The 21,698-nt window shown below is 34.5% G+C and overlaps 2 protein-coding genes across 10 annotated transcripts in view; one reads left to right on the top strand and one right to left on the bottom strand.

Moving 5' to 3' along the window:
- Positions 1–21,698, top strand: part of ANO3 (anoctamin 3) — a 474,482-nt gene that overhangs the window by 368,271 nt on the left and 84,513 nt on the right. For 6 of the 7 annotated variants that reach the window (NM_001313726.2, NM_031418.4, XM_047427399.1 and 3 more), the window contains one exon: positions 2,641–2,701. In NM_001313726.2, coding sequence (NP_001300655.1) covers positions 2,641–2,701 — 61 coding nt within the window. Of the gene's footprint in view, positions 1–2,640; positions 2,702–15,965; positions 16,172–21,698 lie in introns of those variants that run through there. The other variant, XM_011520282.4, reaches the window with a different exon arrangement.
- MUC15 (mucin 15, cell surface associated) lies at positions 1,954–15,185 on the bottom strand. 3 transcript variants are annotated; one of them, NM_001135091.2, is made up of 5 exons: positions 14,963–15,185; positions 9,974–10,061; positions 8,087–8,818; positions 6,038–6,187; positions 1,954–4,147 (listed from the first exon to the last, which is right to left on the bottom strand). In NM_001135091.2, exons 2-5 carry the CDS (start codon positions 10,014–10,016, stop codon positions 3,987–3,989), a joined length of 1,086 nt encoding a protein of 361 aa, NP_001128563.1. In that variant the 5' UTR covers positions 10,017–10,061; positions 14,963–15,185; the 3' UTR covers positions 1,954–3,986. The 3 variants fall into 3 exon arrangements, with proteins under 3 accessions (NP_001128563.1, NP_663625.2, NP_001128564.1); NM_145650.4 differs by lacking the exon at positions 9,974–10,061; NM_001135092.2 differs by lacking the exon at positions 6,038–6,187.

The raw sequence follows: 21,698 nt of genomic DNA on the forward strand, positions 1-21,698 counted from the left end.
GTGTCAAAGAAAATGGACAATTTGTACTTAAATCAAGCTTTTAGGCTAAGTTTGCTACCTTCTTTATATATTATGCCTAGTCATCTTAACAATGTTGAACAAGCCAGGCGCGGTGGCTCACACCAGTAATCCCAGCACTTTGGGAGGCCGAGGCGGGCGGATCACGAGCTCAGGAGATCGAGACCATCCTGGCTAAGACAGTGAAACCCTGTCTCTACTAAAAATACAAAAAATTAGCCGGGCGTGGTGGCGGGCGCCTGTAGTCCCAGCTACTCGGGAGGCTGAGGCAGGAGAATGGCGTGAACCCAGGAAACAGAGCTTACAGTGAGCCGAGATCACACCACTGCTCTCCAGCCTGGGCAACAGAGCGAGACTCTGTCTCAAAAAAAAAAAAAAAAAGTTGAACAAAATGCTTGCCATGGGTCCCTCTATTCATAAAGGCAAGCTGTTTTTCTAATAAAATAATTTAATGTATTACATATTTAATTATATGTGTAGGACAAGATTCTTTTTGCTTTTAGAAAAATCTGCTATGCTGCTTATGGAATTTTCTCAATATTTCATCTGGAGTTTCTTCAGTATAACAAGTGCTCTTGTCCTATTAGACAGAAGGCCAGTTATCACTTAATTCTTCTGTCAATCACCCATGATCTAAGCTTGAGCCATTCACAGTAAGCTTGACTCTTCCTTCATTCTTTTTCCCATTTTCATTCAGCAGCTCATATGTCAGCACCCTAAATAAAGCCCTGAACATCTCAAGCTATAACCACAGACCTCGAACTGTTCTTGTTGTCTCTATGATCTCCCACGTCATAATACATCCCATGTGTAATAGCTTGGTAAATCTAACACATGATTAAACACTGTCGTACTCTTCCTTAGAGCAAGTTCTGAAGTCTTCTCTAATGCTCCTTCTAGCTTTATCTCCCATTAGATGTATATAATCCCACATTACAAGAATATTACATGTACTCCAACTTTATCTCAGGAAGATGTTCCTAAACTATTAATGTTTAAATTTATTGACTTAAAATGCCTGAAAGATTTGTTAGCAAACCTAGTAAGAAAAAAAATGAGAAGCACTTTAAAGGAAAATACTACACAAACTATGATAAGTTCATGCAACACAATTGCTACTAAGGATGGCTTTTTATTTGCCACTTTTCTAAAAGCATGGTTATTTCTAGAGCGGGGAAGGGCCATTATTTCTTGGTGACCTTTAAATCCCCATGTGTAAAGTCTGTTCTAACACTCTAAGAGACTGTTTCCTGTATGATGTTGGTTTACAAAGGAAAACAGACAGCTGTTCAGCTGTTCAGCAGCCTCAGGTGTCTCTGTGGGACGTCTTGAGAAACAAAAATTCTTGACTCCCTGCTGGGTATAATTTTATGAGCTCTGTGGGAGAATTTCTTTATGATCCTTTTCTCTCCTGATATAAATGTACACTGATGATTGTTTTGAAAACCGATTTTTATATTAATTTTTAGAAATACCGTGCCTTAACCAACAATGAATTTTAGAGCCATATGGGACATTTTGCACCTATCCACCAACCTTCAAAGGGAGCGCATCTTTTCTATGATGATATTATCAATAATGCCACATTATAGGAAAATACATTTTATGATGACTTGCTTTACATATATTTTGCAGTGTGTTCCAGATGTTACAACTGAAATACGTATTACTGTTGTTTTAATGCTCCCATTGAGCACCCTCTGGATGTCAGATTGAACAAGGAGGACACCATTCCATTCCAACTTTCCTTATAATACTGTTCTTTAACCCATGATTGTCCTCACCCTCCTGTGAGGACAATGCCCTATTTTCTCTATCGTTTCTATGGAATTTTTGTGCTGGCCAGACATTTTTTGCCTTCACTGTGTTAGTTTAATTTCTCTCACTAAGTTACATATATACTGAGGGCATTATGCAAATGCAAACAAGCAAAGGTAAATTGAATTTATACTTTATTAAAATCAAACAATACAAGCCTTAAAATTTGATTCAATAACATTATAAAACTATGCATCCTTTATGAAGTTTCAGTTGATATCTGATTAAAAAACACTTTGTTTCATAAGTGTTCAGTGATTTATGAAACTTTTAAAACAAATTAAGATGGGATTTATTACATCTTATAGCCATTATTGGACCCATTCTACATTTTGAAAGACTAAGAGAATAGGGTTAGCTATGGGAAATGCTGGCTCACTGGAAGAATCCTGCATTTTCCAACTTCCCCACTCCTAGAAGTTTTGCTAACAGGAATTGCAACTAGGAATGCCTCACCTGAAAAACTAATTTCATACAACTTTCATTAAGTAGTTTGACAATCTGTGACCCACAAATACTTCCATAGAATGGTAGAATTATTTATAATCAGAAATGATGGTGGGGTATAAAGGGAATCAAGAGAGGAGAGAAGAGGGCTAATGTTGTTTCTTCACCTCTCCCCATGAGAAAAATCATGTGAAATTGTTGCAAGACCCATGAAAGGAATTCATATATAATATTTCTGTACTATAAAATAATATGATTCTATTTGAGAAAAAATCATAGTACCTGAGTGCAAACAGTATTCACTGGCTTATTATAATCAATTTGCATGACTAATATTTCTGTTTGTTTTCTACTCAGGTGACATATTTGTTCGATAATGGAGGGACAGTCTTCTTTGCTATTTTTATGGCAATATGGGGTAAGTACTTTCTTCATTACTTTCTATCCCTTATTTTCTGAAGCTGTTTCTGTGTTACACACACACACACACACACACACACACACACACACACACCATGAATCAATTCAAAAATAAAGCCTCTAGGTTGGTACTTGATTTGTTTGCTCTCTTCATATATTCAGTGCTTCTTTAGGAATTTAACTCTTGATCTCATCCTCTAATCTCTAAAACCTAGACTTTCCTACATCAAGGAACATATTTTTTCTACCAAAGGAAGGTGGTAATTAAAAACAAACTGAAACATACTAGAATCCAAATTAATCTTCTTATATTATTGATTATGAAACTGATGCTCAGTAAAAAGTTGTTTGATATTTCCATTCATCTTTTTTAACCTTATGGTTCATACATTTAGGGATGCAGAATCTATTCCATTATGATTGAGCAATAATGTCTAATACATAAGAAATCCAGTTCCTATCTAACAACTTAAAACTGTACAAATTATGTACAGGTATATTCTTTGGTTAACTTTTTTTTTTTACCATGATTCTCATTGAGTTTTTAAGGCACCCAAATAATTGAAGCCTAAGATATATTAAGACAAGTTAAAATTCCCAAAACCTTTGAAGACTTTTAAAGAAGCTATTACTTTCCTGGGTAGGGTCAGCTTTCCTGCCATGGCCCCGTTGAATGCAGTCATTGTCAGCTTCATAACTCAGTGGGCTGATCATGTGTGTGCTGATCTAGAAAATTATAACGTACTAGAATACAGGTCTGTCATTTCTATTGCCTCAATTTCCCAATAACAGAAACTCTGGGCTATGTCCTCTTTTTAGCTTTAAGTCAAATTTTCTTTAAAAAGCACCCTTTCAATTTTCATTTAAGAAAATGCAATCTTGAATTATGGTACTAGGGCTTCAGGCAGAGCAGTAAAGAGTCATCTTCATTGTTTTAGAATTTTTTGGTGGAATAATTTTTATTATTTAGTTATGAGGCAGGGCTGTAATGGTGAAATCTTTTAGTTTTATCTGATTCCACAAATATTTTCTACTAAGAAAATACTACTAAAATACAAATTAAGGCTACTTAGTAAATGCCTCAGGATGGCCAAAAATTGTAAGAAAGAAAACCTTTGGATGATACATCCTGTCTACATTTCTGCTACTGGTCTCCTGCTTTTATGATTCTCCTTGACAAAATCCACGTGACAGTAATTTTGTGTAACCTTTTGAAAGATGAATTTGTCAAAAGGCTAGGATGTAGATGACACTTGCTGTTTAACGCCTTTTTGCTGTTAGTTCTATACAGAAGTACGAAGTGGAGGTATGTCATCCATAGGAATGCCATCACGTGCATTTTCTTCACTTTCTGGCATGGCTGAATCATTCAAAGTTGGATTGTAGTAGCTAGAATTCCCAAAACTCACATCATAAGGTTCCGGTGCATTGTCTAATCGCAGAACTAAAAAAGTAACAAAATAATACTGTTTCACAGTGATACTCTGAAAGATTCATGTTCAGGCATCCACCAAGTTATAGGAATTATTCTAGATGAGAAAATAAATATATTTTTATATGGGCTTTTTAGATTTTAGTTTTAAAATTTTAAATAAGTAGATGTTTTTCAAGCTTCATTTTTTATAAGACTAAGAGTACAGTTTTACTTCCAAAATTTTACTGTTGATGGACTCAAAGTAAAGGAACTAAAGAAGAGACCAGTATAGTATATCAATACCTTGCATAAAGAAGTGTAGACCATACCTCATTGACTTTTGAATCTTGTGATTTCAAAGCCTTGTCAACATGTTCAGAATTTGTCACTTCTGGTGTAAAATTTTTTTAAGTGAAGTCAATAATTTTTAAATTAATGTTATTATTTTACCAAATATCACAGTATCTTGATGGCTAAACCATTTAAGGTGGAGGAGATAAAAAAAGTATTTGTGGGAGCTTATGTTTTCTTCTGATCGATTCAAGTTATCATGCACTTGAGGTTTTCTGATTGTTGATGTGGAAATTTAGTTTTCTTTTAAAACAAATAGTCATTATTTCCTAAAGATCTTGAATTCATTTTCAAAGCAAAACTGGACATGCTCTTGGTATCTTAAAGTACTACAAGCAGTAACTAATTATTAATTATATCAGTAAACTATTCACTTAGGTATCATCATTTGCTTATCTACTTATTCCTGTAGCCATCTGTTTACAAATTGGGCTCCCAGGAACCTTAGGTCTTTGGGAGAGGTGTCTCAAAGCTGTCTTTGATGGATAAAACAGTTGTTGTGGATTGAGTTATTCTTTTATGCCTCTATCACAGCAGTTTAGATTGTATCAATTTTTGATAGATTGAGTTTTTACATGAGATTACATGTAAAGACAAGATTCAAAGGTTAAAAAATGGTTGAAAACCACCGTTATAAATCCTATCCTTTAATTTTTGAAGAATGGTACTTTTTGTTTTGTATTAGTTCCTAGAAACCCATAATCAGAATTCAGTTACATTTATAATTTACAGATTTGGTTCTGAATATGAGAAATATATCAGTTATATCTGAACTCATCAAAACTCAAATTCAGTAAGACTTCATCAATGGGACCCACCAGAAGCATTTAATTATTTGTTATGGTGACAAGAATCCCTTGTGCAAACCAGAAAACACATATTTTTTTCCCTGAAGTATAAAACTGCAGATGAACCAAGCAATAAAACAAATATCAAATTGATATTATATTATTAAAGCACAAACTGACAACTTTATTTTTAGTATACATATTTCTCATTCATAGATATTATGGTTGGCTTTTTCCATCATATGAGTGGAAAATTCCTGAATTAAGGTACAATGTGACTGTGTGTGCAAATATGCAACTTTTAGATGCTTTGTTTTAGAGCCTCATTAAGATGGTTAATGGAGGGCTGCTGTGTCTGTATAAACTTTAAAAGAGCTCCAAATTAGAATCAATCTTTGTTCAAATTACTGCTACTTAATGATCTAACAATGGCAAGGAATAGCTTTGCCGTCACTTGCTAACAAAACTGGTCATTTTTTCTGAATGTCCTACCATTCATTATCTTCCAATTTTATACATATGTTTAGATTCTTGGATTATTATTTAAAACCAATTTTGATGCAGTGAGCAACAGTTCAAATGTTTTTTAAATTTCAGTCACAGGTCTATAATTATTTTGGTTTTGTTCTTTGATAAACAGAAGGTGGATCAGAATAAGTCTTTAGTTTGTTCATTCATATGAATTCTTTTGGAATTACCTTCTAGGCAATGCAGTGAACATTGGCATCCTCATTTAATTAAAACCACTGTGCCCAGGTGAAGTATTGAAAATAGATTTTACCTGGTTCATTTCTGTCGTCATAAAGTCGCCGATGGGAAAATGAATCCGTTTTCCTTTTTCCACACAACAAGTAGCCCACAAGAGTAAGCAATGAGACACCCAGAATAGCACCTAAAATGGCCCCGAATACTATTCCTGTATTTCTATTTTCTACAGGACAAAAAAAATTTAAAGAAATATAAAATAATTATTCAAAGAACCGAACTCTATGCATGTGAACTTTCCATATAACAAAGAATGTTTAACATTTTAAAATTAGATAATGGTGTGTTTCTCTCTCTGTGTGTGTGTGTGTGTGTGTGTGTGTGTGTGTGTGTCTTGTAAAGTACTATTTGGGATATATGGGCAAACGTATTTGTTGATAAAACCACACTTCTAATTTTTAATTACATTGAAATACTTCTAAGTCTTAGCTCTATAGCCGTGTCTTGTGTCTTGTTCTTATTAACATCAGTGGCACTGAAATGCCATGTGCATACTCCATTAAGATCTAATATCAGTGTTGAACTTTAATGATGAAATGAATTTTGCACTTGTTTCTGTAAATAATTCAAAGGTTAAAAGCCAATAGGAGTAAGTGGGTAATAGAAAATGAGTCCACCATAAACAAATAAGAAGTCACTACAAGGAAAAATCAGTGTATCCTGATAGAAGGTATTTCCAAACACCACAAATAAACCAAGGCAAGATAACTTCAGTGCCTTGCATATCAAGAACAGTTGTCTAGGCCTGAGCTTACGGGAGTTCAAAATTTCACTGTATTATTCTTTTCACTCGGTATCTTATTTGAAGACTAAATTTTCAATAAACTAAATGTTCTCTGAACTGAAATTTAGTACATTTCTCTTTTTTTCTTCTCTTTTTTTGAAGGACTCATTAATTAGGTAGGCAAAGGGTCTTGCAGGGTCTCTGATTCTATATAAAATCTCATTTCTAAAAAAATTAATTTTCATGTTAGAGTACAGTAAACTTGTTACTAAAAGAGAAGTAAGCTAACTAAATTTTTTTTTACATAAAATAGCAATGGTAAGAGTAAGTACTCAGTATTCTCAATATGTATATTAGGTTTAGATAGACAAAAGAGAGGAAGCATTTTTAAAAATGACAAGATATGTTAAAATCATAGTTAAATGTACATATACAATATATTGATAGTGGTATTATAAAAAGCCTATATTTCAGAATTTAAAACTTTTCCTACACACTGGCAACAACATTCAAACAGGAATTTGTATATATGATTTGTTTTTTACATTACTAATATAATCCTTAAGTAAACCACACTGGAAGTGAGTTCTTGGAGGAAAACAAATTATTAAAAAAATTTCAAGGGGGGAAAATACATTAGACCTCAAAAAACAAAACAAGAATGAATTATTAAAACTTAGTTATTTTTTTTCATTTTATGGAAAAATGTAAAACAATTTTTATGTTTCAAATGGAAAAGATTGACATAATCCTTAAATGAAACATAAAAATGTCCACATAATAAATTGTTTGTGATTGTGACAGATAATTTATAAATTCATTACTTTGTTCAACTTTTTAAAAACTCATATATATATACTCATATATATACACACACACACACACACACACACACACACACACACACACATATATATATATATATATATATATATATATATATATATATATATATATATATAAGTTCAGTTGTATAGTATTCACATGAGCATGTGAAATTTCAGGTAGTCTTTTCAAGATTCATTGAAAATTGTTACCTAGTATCTCAAAGCTGTACCATTGCTTCAGTCTCCATCTTTTCTTGACCTAACCTAACTTCACATTTTGTCCCATTGTCTCCTTACACTCCCAAAGAGAAATGACTAGTATATGTTCATTGAAGCCCTAAAACCACTTCACTATTTCTAGTGACTATAATGATCATCCCTCAAAAGTGAGAAAATCCATGCTATTGTGTTCTCTTCTGTTTTTCCAGCATGGTGATTCCTTAGACTTACTCTGCATGACTTATTTGGAATTTCAGTTTCACACAAAAGGAAAGTTAAAATCATTTATATTTACCTTTTTGGGGATCTGACGTATTTGGAAAGAGTTTTGAATTATTGGTGAATTTTAAGGTAGGCTGTAGAGTTGTTTTTTCTTGATAAGGGGTAAACCCAGTGAAGCTATCACTGTTTGTGGTAAGCCATCCACTTGGTTCCACTATCAAGGGGGTCACAGATGGAGAAGTTGGTTCTGAAGAGAGGATGCTAACTGTAATGGAACTGTTATCAGGAGTTTTCACGGTGTCATTGACCAAAGACCAAGTGAAGTTTTCTGAAGACAGAGCAGGTGTAGCATTGGGATGTGCTGAGATGGGCAAAAGATCTTCATCTGCTATAGGTGCATTCCAAGGCACTTTAGAAACAAAGCTATGGATCAAGGGAGGGCTTGTGGAAATGGTAGATGTGGGTTTTAGACTGCCCAAAGAATGCTCTGCTGATGAGTTACTGGAGAAATCTGTTATTCCGTGGCTGTTGTTGGGTAGATTCAAAGGAGGGGAATGACTCGCCTTGAGATTTGAGGTGGTTATATTTTCTTTATCTGAGTTTAAGTTTGCTTCACTTTCCAAAGAAATAGGTTTATTTTCCATTGTTTTAAAAACTTCTGCAATGTTCTGTGTTGTGTTTATGTCTTGATTTTCTTTTCCATGGCTCCCCGATAGAAGTGAATAAAACAACGTTGAAATCAACAGAATTTTGGCTAAGGCCAACATTGTAGGCTTCTTTGGTATTGGTTTTTTTTTAAAGGAATCTGAAAGAAAATAACCATAATTTGAATTCCTTAAATAAAATACTCTGAGTTTTTAAATGGATCTATATATTTTAAAGTGATAAAAATCTAGACATAATATAGAGATGGTAATATCATATTTTTATTCCAAAATTGCTTATTTTGGATTATGTACTTAAATTAGTGCCATTGAGTACTGCTTTCCACGTAATCTTTCTTCCTTCCTTGCTTCTAGGGAAATGCCATGCAAAAACTTCCTCAAGCCACACACTGCTATTTCAAAGACCATTTAGCTTGGGAAAAGGTGGAAGAAAACCATAAAAACCCACCCACTCACACATACACGTATATTTAAAACATGTATATGAACTGTTAAATAACATTTTAAAAATATTGTAAATATAGACCATGTAGAGCTGGCTGATTTCTTCAATCTATTTAAGAAAACGCATTCTTTATAAAGATGTCATTTGAAATATTTATTATGAAAATGACATTACTGACTATACATTAAATGCACCATATATTAGATTTTTTTAAAGTGAGTCAGTCAGGAATACCCTTGAATACATTTTATTAGTATCTAGTTTGAATTAATACTAGTCATGAAATAACTCATGAATTTGAATGTATCCCTTTTCCACAATACTTTTCATTTCATGATGTCCTTCTTGCTACTTAATCCCAAACTGGGGAGATTCAGAAGCCTTCTAGATTTAAGGATATTCTTTAATCTTACTCTCTTATTTTATAAAAGAAGAATATGGTTGGGGTGTGTGTGGGAAAATAAGCTAGATAATTGCAGATTGGGTCCTGATCTCCAATCCAGGCACATCATTCCGCCTCTTAAGTGTGGAAGTGCCACAATTCATAAATAGGGTGATATAGGAAAATGTTTTGAAATCAGATTTATATTAAAATTCTGGCTTCTGACACAAATAACTCATGAAAAATAATCACCATAATAAGCAGTTGCTTTATCATCATTATAATTAACTTCAGAGTGTTGTTCTGAAGACTGAATGGGCTGACTTAGGTAGCAGCACTCTAAACAAGATCTAGCCTAAAGTAAACACTTAATAGATGCTAACCTCCATTTAATATTCAAATATAATAATATATCTATAGTGTCTTTTTGGTTACAAAGTTTACAGTATCATCTTATTTGATACTTACAACAATCCCTTGATGTGGCAAGAATAGATTGTATTATGCCCATTTTGCAGATGAAGAAACTGAAGCTCACAATGGCTAGTAACAGAAGCTGGAAAATGGAAGAGGCAATATTTAAAGCCAAGTCAACTGACTCCAATCTCATTAGAGGCTAAAATTTGCAGTGCTTTTAATGGAAAATTTACTTTAAAAAAATAGACTTTTTTTTCCTCAAGCAATAAAATCTGAGTACTGATTTCATGTTTTTGAATTGAACCTTATTTTTCACTGAAAGCCTCCATGCTGACTGAGAGAGGAAAAGGGAGGAGGTACAAGTGCTGTTACTTAGTTCTTGTATTGTGTGCCATTTCTCAACAGCTCTCTGAAATTTTTACAAATATTTTCAGCCTTGTTGATTTTTCATTAGGGTCTACAGAGCTTCTAAACACTCCCACTAGTTATGTGTTGATTTTAAATAGCAAGTCCTCTCTTACATAATAATTTCTCACATGTGGTACAACGTAAATATATCTATAATATATGTTAGTTATCTTCAAAATCTGATACTTCTCTTCAAAAGCTTTTAGCAAGCAATTGCATAATCATATACTTCTAGAATTTTAGACATATTGTATCTTCCATGCCCTATGGTTATCACTTAAGAAAAATCTACTTAAAAATAAAAGCTGGCAGACATATGAGAACATTCATAGCGGCATTATTTATAAGAGCCTCAAACCTAAGTGTTCATTAGTAACAGATTGGATAATAAACTGTGGTATATTCAGATAGTGAAAATTGACAGGCTAGAGCTGTATGCAACGACATGGATGATTATCACAAACATAATGCACTGCTTGAAACACCAGTTGTATTGTGTGATTTCATGTATATAAAGTTCAAAAACAGGCAAAAAGCTACAATGATACGATTGGGAAAGGGCTTTATTACTGGAAGTAAACAGAATTGATTGGGTGGAGCATGGAAGGAGGTTGTGTGCTGGTGATACTCTATTTCTCAACCTGATTGTGATTACATAGGTGTTTGTATTTGTGATCATTCTGCTTATTGATATTTCATTCACTTTTCTGTGACAACTAAGAAATTCAGATTGTTCTAAAAATGTTTAACATAATTGGAAAGTATATTACTATTATGCATTTGATATATCAGCTGCTTTACATATTTTCCATTTAATGCTAACCAAAAATAAACAAATGGTGAAGAAGGGCTTATTAATCCCACTTTACAGATGATTAAGTGGGACATAAATAATGTAAGTAATGTGTCCAAGGACACACAGCTAGTAACTGAGAGATCGGATTTGGATTCAAACCTTGACATGTCTGATTTAAAGCTAGTCAGTATTCATGTTTGTAACATAAGTTGCAAAGGAATATAGAATTTGGTACACAGCTGCTTTTTAGAACTTCTTCCTACCATAGTTTTTTTTTTTAATACAGCCTCTCCAAATTTAATTATTTTAACCAGAGCAGTTTATAATCCCATTTTTACAAAACACTGATAATATAAGTCTTTCTATCTTCAAAGGACCCATTAAATACACTAAATATGCTTTTGCTGTAATTTAAGAAAATCACGATAACTGTCTATTATGGTTTCTAGATGGACATCTTTACCATGAAGTTTACAGATTAGCATTTACAAAGCATGAATGATTATCTCTGGCACCTGTAGTTGACCAATATTTACTTAAATTGATGCCTCACCTAGTGTGTTTAAAATATAATTCAGTTTAGTTTAAAAATAGTTATGTGTACCTTTTCAGAAACATCTCTCTCCTGTGAACTCTGCAAAGTTCACAGCAAACATAATGCTCCTTTTCATTATCTACGGCATGTGATCTAATTTGTCAATTGTACTTAGCCACTATTTTCAGCATTATTATGGCATTCGATTTATTTTCTCTATATCTAGTTGTTTTGCTATTTTTCTCTTCCTAATAAAGTGGTCACCAGTGGGGGGAAAAATGTCCTTAGCTGTTCTTCTATTTTTCTTATAATATTATGTGAGAGACATGGCATTGAGCTTTCATTACCTGCCTGTAATGAAAATCTACACATCAAGAGTCAATAAAGTGAATTCTGTTGTTCCTGTTTCACCTTGCCTGTGACATTGAACCACCAAGGGGATCTCTCATTCCTTTACCCAGCTTTTGATTGTAACTTGAAAACCTAGGGTATCAACACCCCCAAACGTGCGAAGCACTCTGTTACTGCCTATAATTTATCTCCCAGGAAAAGGAGAGAAATGGAAGAGAGGGGTAGTTCAGTATGTTGTGAATACTATTAAATATTTATGGTTTATTCAGAAATTTATACACTACAGATAAGGCTTTTGTGAAGACGGATTGTCCTGACATTGCAGTAGGGACAAGTTTGCCTCTGCTGCCTGGCTTCTAGGAGAGCCAGGTTACGCCACTTACTCAGGTTCCTTTCATCTTAAAGTCGTAGAAGCAGCCAGGAATTGAAGTCATCCGTTATTCAGAACCCCACCATGAAATTTTGCTGGAGTAAGGTCCAGGAGATTTGGCCGAAGTTTGACCTCATGCCAACTGAACAAAGCACATTGCAAGTGACAGAAGCCTAATGGAGGTGGGACAGCAACTCCAGAGGGCAACAAATGAAATCTATATATGTTTTACTTTCGTGTGTGCTTTCCTTTTAGCCTCTCTCCATCTCTGGAGTTCAAATATCTAACTCTATGTTATATACTTGCTTTATAAAGCTGAAATGATGATGGATTATGGATGGTATCCCTGAGTGCACCCAAGTTCATCTGTCAGCCAGGTGCACTGTGGGGGCAGACAGAAGGTGGGATGAAAGAAAAGTAGAATTGCAGAGGGAGAGAAATCAGGAGAACCCAGTAATGATTTCACCTCCTGATCTTTGCCTCTTTTTGCATCTGGGTGGTAGCTCCTAAGAGAAATTTTGAAGTTATAAAATAGAGGTTTAGGATCATCACAAACTCGAAAACCTTCTAAAGGTAGAATTACTATAAAGTGAACAGAGAAAGAAAGGAGGATTTCCAGTTCCTTTGTGATACCTTAAATACAGATTCTAAACTTTCCTGTATATATTAACATTTTTTTTGTTTTAAAATTTAACTAGTTTTAAAATATATTTTCATAGTGTCACTGTTTTAGAACAACTCCTCTACAGAGGGAGAATGAACACGACTTTCGCCTTCTTTGTTACTGGCACTGGAAAGTGGTTTCACATTATTACTTTTGTATGGAGGGCTGCAGAAAGTGATGAGAAAAAACAAAAACAAAAAACACCTCTGGCCAGTAAGGGAAGCAAACCCACATTCACTGTCCATATTTTTGCTTCCTTTTAAATGCATAAAGTCATTATTCTGTCCAGGCTCTCTGTTGAAATCGTGGGTCATACTTATTTTATACCAAGCTTTGGAAATAAGGAGATGTCCTGGTTTATGTCAGGTAATTAACCCATATAAGGGCAAAGAAATGCTACTCATTCTAAACAGAATCAAAATCAGAAATTCTAAATAGAATCATCAGTTCAGGTATACTGCAGGCATAATATAAAAACATGTTTCTATAGTAAAATCACTGACGACTATACATTGGGCTGCCTTTTCTCCAAGTTGTGTTTGATCATTTCTTCTCACAGATGTTAGGCTACAAATTAAGACAGATGGGTTTTGTTTGTCTCTCAAAGAAAACTCTGTCTGCTATGTAGCTAACATCTCAGGAAGAACTTGAGTGTTACTCTGAGTGACTTTTTCCAATGTTGGACAGTATTTTTAGTTTCCTAAATTCAAGAGCAACAATAAATGAGGACATAAGACATCCTTCTAAAAATGCCTCTTTTATGAGAGGGTTTTGGAAGCGTAACCAACTAGAAAAAGGATTGTGACTGAGAAACTTAGGCCTCTCATTTTACTTTTATGTGATGTAAAAAGAAAGAAAAAATAAAAAAGAAAAGACTGGCTTTCTTTCAAGAAAAAAACAAATTTCAGAAGTTTGAGAACATTATTCTGGCTAAAAGACTTAGGCTATGTAACTACAGGAAAAATGTAGAGTTTGTCATATGACCTGCTACCTTGGGAGTTTTCAGTCATAAAATTCAGTACTTAACTAATTAGTGATGAGTGTCAAGCTTAGAAAGAAAGAAAGTTTCTCCGAAAGGAAAGTTCTAGATCAAAATTTTCAAGCATAGGGTTTCCAGCCTTCTGTATCATACTGTAATGTCTATAGGAGCAGCCTCTACAGACTAAATAGAAAGTAGATAAATGGAAATCAGCATCCTTTTAATAAAAAAAGAGGCTTATATAGCCACAAAATGAAAATAATTTTAAGAAATTTTACCACATTTTCATTTCATAGGATGTTTTCTGTAGTAACTGATGTAACCTTTTAGATTTCCAGTGAAAGTTAGACATGTACACATATCATGCTAAATAATTATATGTACTGTACAACAGTTTCCCAACTTTTTAATTAAGAAAATCTTTGAAAAAGATTTATAGAAGCTTCTAATCTATTTTATTAGAAGATTTTTTCCAAAACTATTCTAATACTTAAAGCAAAAACCTCTAATACTTAAAGCAAAAACCTTTCAGCACAAATGCATAATTTAAATCTAAGATTCAATTTATATTCATGCTGCCACTTCCACTTTAAACATTTTGAAACCTTTACTAAGATCTGACTTAAGAAAATTCTATTTCATAGTCACGTATGTTTTAAATAAGGCTTTTATTTAACTCTTCTGCTGGTTCTGTAATCTAGCAAATTTGGCAGTAATTTTTAAAGCTAACTCATTTAGGAGTGCAAATACTCATTTGGAAGGTCATTACTTAATAAAACAACTACTTGTCTCTGCAAGGATTGCCGTAGCTACTTGCCAGGCTGTTCTGTCAAAGTTGAGACCACTGCGATTCTCTTTGGTAAATAATCAAGGAAGAGAGAGAGTAGAGAGTGAAAGAGAGAAAGCGAGAGACCTAAGTGACCCAACGCACACTTACCTTCAGGCTTAGGAGGTATTTACAATCAGGAACTGAAATATCACAGTTGTCCTGTCTGAAAGGAATCTGTCGTGCATTAGAGAAAACAGATGGGTTAAGTGTGACAATGTCGCACTGAGCAGGAGGGTGCCAGGGAAACAAAATTAGGTGGGGCTGGCTGTATCTTGCTTGTGTAACAGAGCGCCCAGGAACCTGACTGACCTGCTTCTCAGCTGTAAGCATTAAGATATCACCTCATTCAGGCCTTTAACAACAACAACAAAAGCCCAACCCTCCAGTTTTCATAGGTTGATCGTTTTAGCTTTGGGACAAGGTATTACTCTCGTCAGTGGTAGCAAAACACGGGTCATCAATTTTTTTTTTCACCCTAAGTGAAAAAAAGGACAAAGATTTTGGCAAAGTCATCTGGTATAGCAGGAATTTCTGACATGTGCTGGGCCCCCTGCTCCTTGCAGGTGAGGAATCCAAACAAGTCATGCCCTGCACTTGTTGCTCTATGCCAGCCGCACATTCTCTGAAATCATAAACAATTTTTCTGTACTCTAGTAGATTGCCCTATTTGTGTACTTAAAGCCTAAGTAGAGAAAATGTAGTGGGGTCAGTAGTGAGGCGTCTATTCTGAGGTCCACTGAAATTGTTTTTTTAAGAAACTCCTACTTAACACAAAGTGAATTAGTAGCATATATTGGGATCCCTGAGAACGCTGTGAGGTGTTACATGAAAAATAATCATCATGACTGAGATTCGGTTTCTTGCTGACTTTCAGGAGTTTGGAGAGGAACTGGGGCCTGAGAATGGCCATGTGATCCTCACTTATCCTAGGAGCCTTCTCGATTAAGTAGTTTCCACCCTGTGTTCTCTCTGGTTTACTCTCACTTTAGAAGCTGGAGAATTTCAGAAGTGCCCAGGTAATGCTTGATTAAATACTAGAGTTGAATAACAACTTGGCATACTTCCTACACTTCCTTTCAGAGCTTATGAAAGGGAGAAGAGTGAAACTGGGATCTTCCGCACATCAGCGTTTGGGGATGGCGCCAAGGGCCGTTCAGCTCAATATGCCTGAGGTTCATACTTGGTTTCTGCTGCACAAGGAGATAGGTTTTCAACTGCTGAGCGAGAAACGAAACTTTAGCTAAAATGCAGGAGCTAGTAAGCTTCAAATGGAATGCAAAGAATCTGCCCAGTTAATTGGCCCGAGGAAAGAACAAGGTAATTCTATAGTTTTAAATTTTCTGAAGCCCAAAGGCCCCTTCAGAGTTTGATTAGAAATTAAACCAACCCCGAAAAAATATTGTCTCAAAAGATATTTAAGCTGTCTCTACTGTGGTACGAAGAAAAGCAGGTTAAATTTAATCAAACAGTTAGTTACTGAACAGTGGCTTAATAGAATTCAATGGCTTATTTTCAGATTAGCCACTTTTTAGGTAAAAATCCAACTAAATATATTTTCTGTTTGTAGTTAGAGAACTGAACATGATTGGGCAGGACTGGGTGCACCTTTTCCCTAGGCCTTTTCTGCAATATGTGTGGGAATATCATTATCCCCTTCTGCCTTAACCATAGTAATTATGGCTTATACCAGGCATAAACATTGCAATGCACTTTTGCTATAGCTCTCCGTTTTCACTGCCATAAAAGTCCCGCTAATTTCTCATGTTGCTTTTTCCTGAAGACCCTTTCTGTGGGCCCAGAATCCTATTCATCATTGCCCTCCTTACAATCATAATCAATTGATTAGACCTCACCCTAGAGATAAACCTTACCTACCCTCACTGTCTTGAGCACATCTGGAAATAAACTTATAAAATGTAAACTGTACGTAAATTTAATGCCTCAGTTGTTACTTAGCTCACTTAGTTGTTATCAGAAACCTTTGTTTACTCATGGAGTTGGAGTTAAAAAGTAATTTCTAGCCAAACAAACAAGTTTCACTGAGATACAGTCCTAGGTTCTAGGTAAGACCAATCCCACTTTAGACCTCCTTTCTCCAGAGGAACTCCACAATGAGAGATAATTACCTGCAATTTCATCAGCAAACCCAGCTGAGATGACACACTGTGCAGTGCTTGTATAATTTTTTTTGGTACTTACCCACTATGGTGCCTTTCATCTGGCACTCACCAATTGCTTTACACTCATTAATTACGTTTCACAATACATACTGGGAGGAAGAAAAACCTCTTCCTAGTCTGCAATGATAGAACCACTCACAAGTGGAGTTTCCAGAACACGAAGACACATGAATATCACTAATGGATCTGAATACAGAAGCAGACATAGCTTGGGACCACACTTCAAACTAATTGAAAACATTGTTTTGAATCCAAAAGAGTATCTTTTTGTACAAATCCTATAGCATCAAATCTTGATGCTGATGTCACATGTAGGGAATTTGCATTGATCAGATTCACTGATAGCATATTTAGTCTGATACAGGCTACAAGTGGAATTCATGTTTGTTTCCCCATAGGGACATAGGTACTTTAAGCAAATAAGAAATATTTGAATAATAGTAAAATAAATTACATTATGAATCTATTATTTGAGAGTATTTTAATGATATTCTTTATAAATAAAATAGAATTTAACGGCTGGGAAATGTATTTGGGGATAACATTTAATTTATTTCAATATTCTATTAGGATAGAAATAGAGGGATTATTCTCATAAATGCTAATGGTTGTTTATTATTCAAGTTTATCTTTCTCTGGTAAGTAATATGGTGCTATAATAAGATCTTCTTCACTTAACTATAACTTTTTGGAAAGGTCAAATATTCCATTTTGGGGTTAAGGAAATTCTAGGACAATGCCCTTGGTTAAGCAGAGGTTATGATATTGCATATACATATATGCAAGTATACATACTTGCATGCATACATACATAAATGGTGAGCTAAAGAAAGTTGTAAACCTGGTCAATCAACTAAAAATAACTTTAAAGGATAGATCTTTATGTGATTTGGGGCATTTAATTCGACCATAGTTAAAAGAATTGAATGATAAGACTATAGCAAAACCTGTTGCATTTCTATCTATATATTTATGTGAACCTGTTTTCTTAGTAAACATTTTGAAATATAAAATATATAATTGAAAATACCATATTGTAACAATATAAAATATGAATTGAAAAACAAACACAAACCCTATTGATATCCTTAAGAATATAACAGTCTTAGATTTTGCATTTAATATTCATTAAAATTTAAAATTGATTATATTGTTTTATTACTTCTGATGATTACTCAATTCTAATTGTTTTTTAAGGTAAGAGCCTAATGGTCACAAGAAATTTTAAAAATTTAAACAATTGCTATCTCATTTTTAAAATTATTTTAGAGTACTATGCAAGATAATCAACACTTTCAAACATAAATATATATTAGAAATATTTTGAAGTAGAAATTGGATGGAAATAGATTTAAAGATAAAATGAACAATTTAAATTTTGCAACAGATTAGTGCTTTTTAAAGGTATATTTTTAAAGAGACACAATTAGGTATAAAATACTAGTATAAATTTATTTTAAAATGTCCATTTTTATAAAGCACTGGAAATCATAACCTTTACGACTATTTAAATATATAATGGAAAGAAATTTTGTACAAGGAGATAAATAATTTCACAAAATTATTTTAGCGATTACACAATCATTTTCAAAACCACTGACATTGTGCAGCTATTAAATTCAGAGTAGTAAATCAGACATTTTCAATAATTTCTATGTGATGGCTAATAGTACTTGAAGCTGTTCATAGGTTTAAAATATTTTCTTGGGTATTTTTCTGTATTATTTAGGGTCTCACATAGTGTCCACTATATCTTTTTATCTTCCCTTCCAGTTCTAGCCAAACAAAAACAAAAAAGGTAGAGGATAGCGTTGTTACAAGATGATGGAAACATTTAAAAAATAAACAATACTTTCTTCAGAATGATACTTTTGCTGACGTGATCATAGTCCGCACATGTTAGCAGAAAGACTTTGTCGCTCAGGTGGCCCCATGAAATCTTTATTCAGTGTTAGCACTCTGGGGCTCTGTCTCTGGCTAGATTCTCCAGATTTATAATCACCAAGGAAGCAGTGTGCTGAGTAGAACAAGCTCAGGCTACCACGTCACAGTTTCTTTGTTTTGAATCCTGGTTTTGCCACTTAATGGTTTCATAACCTTGGATAATTGCCATCACGTTTCCAAGAATATTTTCTCATTTGTACAATAAAGAAAGTGACACTACTTCTTAGTTGTGTGTGGAGTCAAGTTAAAATAGATAAAATAATTGTGTGTTACTGGACACTTAGTAGTCAAACTCAATTAGACTTAATTAATTATAAATATAATAATTTTTTTGGAGATGATAAAAATTGAGGCTTCAGTGTCAGCATGAATAAATGTTGAGAGGAATCTAACTAAGTGTACAAGCACATATTAGATTATTTTGAATTTGCATCTCTCAGCACATAGTAGTTACTCAATGAATATTAATTTCATGAAAAATGAATGAGTAAACTCTTCTTTATTTTTACCTGAATTTTTCCCTGCCAGAGAGGCTTTCTCTGATCACACTTTGTAAAACTGAAACCCTTTTTTCCTGACCTATTCTCACTCCTCCTGCTGCATTTTCTTCATAGCACTTATTGCCATCTAACATACTGTATATCTTATTTATGTATGTATTTCTTATCTAGTCCCATACTAGAAAAGTCAGCTCGTGACAGCTTACGTTTTTGTCTGTTTTCTGCATTGCTTTATCCACAGGGTTAGACTAATGCCTTGCACAGAGTAAATGCTGGATAAACTTATAAGTGAAAGATTAAATGAGTGAATTGATAAAAGATTGAATAAATATTAATATATTTGTCAACAATAATAACAAAAAGTGAATATACTATTCATGAGACAGCTGTAAGTTTACTTTTTCTTCTTTTTAGAATATTCTTCTCAACGTTGGCCCATTCAGATCTGAAACTTGACTTTTTTTTCACTTAAGGACATTCCTTGGCCACATTTATATGATTGTGAGCAGTTTTCTTTGGTAGGTGGTTAGTGATAGGAGCCATTTCACAAGAAGAGTTGGCCTTAACTAGAGATGCAGAAATCTTCTAACATGTAAGAATGTAGAGGATATGGACACAAGGATAGATAAGTGGGTAGATATGGTTTTGGTGGTAGTCATGTAGACAGAAAAATTGTCAACTGAGAGTATAGGTATCAGATTTTTTTTAAAAAAGAGAGAGAAAGTGGCTGGGCATGGTGGTTCACGCCTGTAATCCCAGCACTTTGGGAGGCTGCGGTGGGCGGATCACCTGAGGTTAAAGACCAGCCAGGCCAACATGGGGAAACCCCGTCTGTACTAAAAATACAGAAAAAAGAGGTAGCTGGGCATGGTGGCAGATGCCTGTAATCCCAGCTACTTGGGAGGCTGAGGCAGGAGAATGGCTTGAACCCGGGAGGCAGAGGTTGCAGTGAAGCTGAGATTGCGCCATTACACTCCAGCCTGGGCAACAAGAGAGAGACTCCGTCTCAAAAAAAAAAAAAAAAGAGAGAGAGAGAGAAAGTATTACAGCATGGCAGCCTCAAAGATCTACTCAAAGTTAGTAATCATTAATATAAAATAAAACAATTTACTCAGAATAGCTGTGCTTTTTTCCAGCTATGTTAATGTGCATGAGTACAAATCGATAGTAGATGGAGTGATGGGTTTAACTAGGGTTGTATTTAAACCATGGGCTTATGACAAACTGAAACAAGAGCTAGAGAGTTGAGGGCATTTGCACCCAATTGAGTATAATGATTGCCCATTAGGATACATAAAGACAAAAGTGAAGGCACAAAGGGAGGAAAGGATAGTAAAAATATGATAGGATCAATGAACTGATAATCTGGCTCAAGAGAATGTTGGAATTGCAGTTTATAGGGAGTGAACTAGAACTATGAATGTAATTATTGAATATCATGGAAGGCCTGCTACTATTGATCAAAAGTATGTCGTGGGAGCACATGAGTGAGACCGAGTAGGAGAAAACAGTTTTGAAGATAGAGATCAAAGAACTGAGAAGCCAGAGTACTAGAAAGATTATCTGTGTATATTGTAATTTCCAAGAGTAATTTTGGGAGTATGTTGATAAGAGTTATATTAAGACATGAGTTTAAAATCTTCATAGATGTTAGGTAAGTGTCTCCAGGAGACAGAAGATGACTACCACAAGGAGTGGCAGTAGGAAGCATGAATTGACAATATGAGATTCGAATCTGTAAATTGTTTAGGAGGGAGGAAATATGGTCCTAAAGCAGCAATGAGGAGCAAGAAATTCACTACCTCAGCAGTACGTATTGACATAGGAGACAAAGAGCTATCACTTGAGTGTGCTACATGGAAAGTGGGGTTTTAGGGGAGTCCCAGGTTTCAATTAGAGTAAGAAGGTGAAGGGATACAAAAGGCTTTGCCTTGACTTTGTGTAAAAAGGGAATAGTGAATTTGTTTCAAAAGTTGGGAAGGAGCGGGCGATCATCACAAAGGCAATCCCTGTTCCTGGTGGCATGAGGATCAGTTCCTGGGGAGTGAGGGATGATCTGGAAATTGTGGGCTCCTTGAAGTAACTGATAGGAACAGGGTTAAAAAGTACGATTATATTAGTCTCGATAGACCACTTGTGCATGTTCACAGGCAGAAAGCTGTGTGTAGAATATGGGGATAGAGGCCTATTGCTAAAATGGAGAGTTATAGGCTCCCTGTA

The sequence above is a fragment of the Homo sapiens genome, chromosome 11, assembly GCF_000001405.40.
Source record: "Homo sapiens chromosome 11, GRCh38.p14 Primary Assembly".
In the NCBI taxonomy this organism is placed as follows: Eukaryota; Metazoa; Chordata; class Mammalia; order Primates; family Hominidae; genus Homo; species Homo sapiens.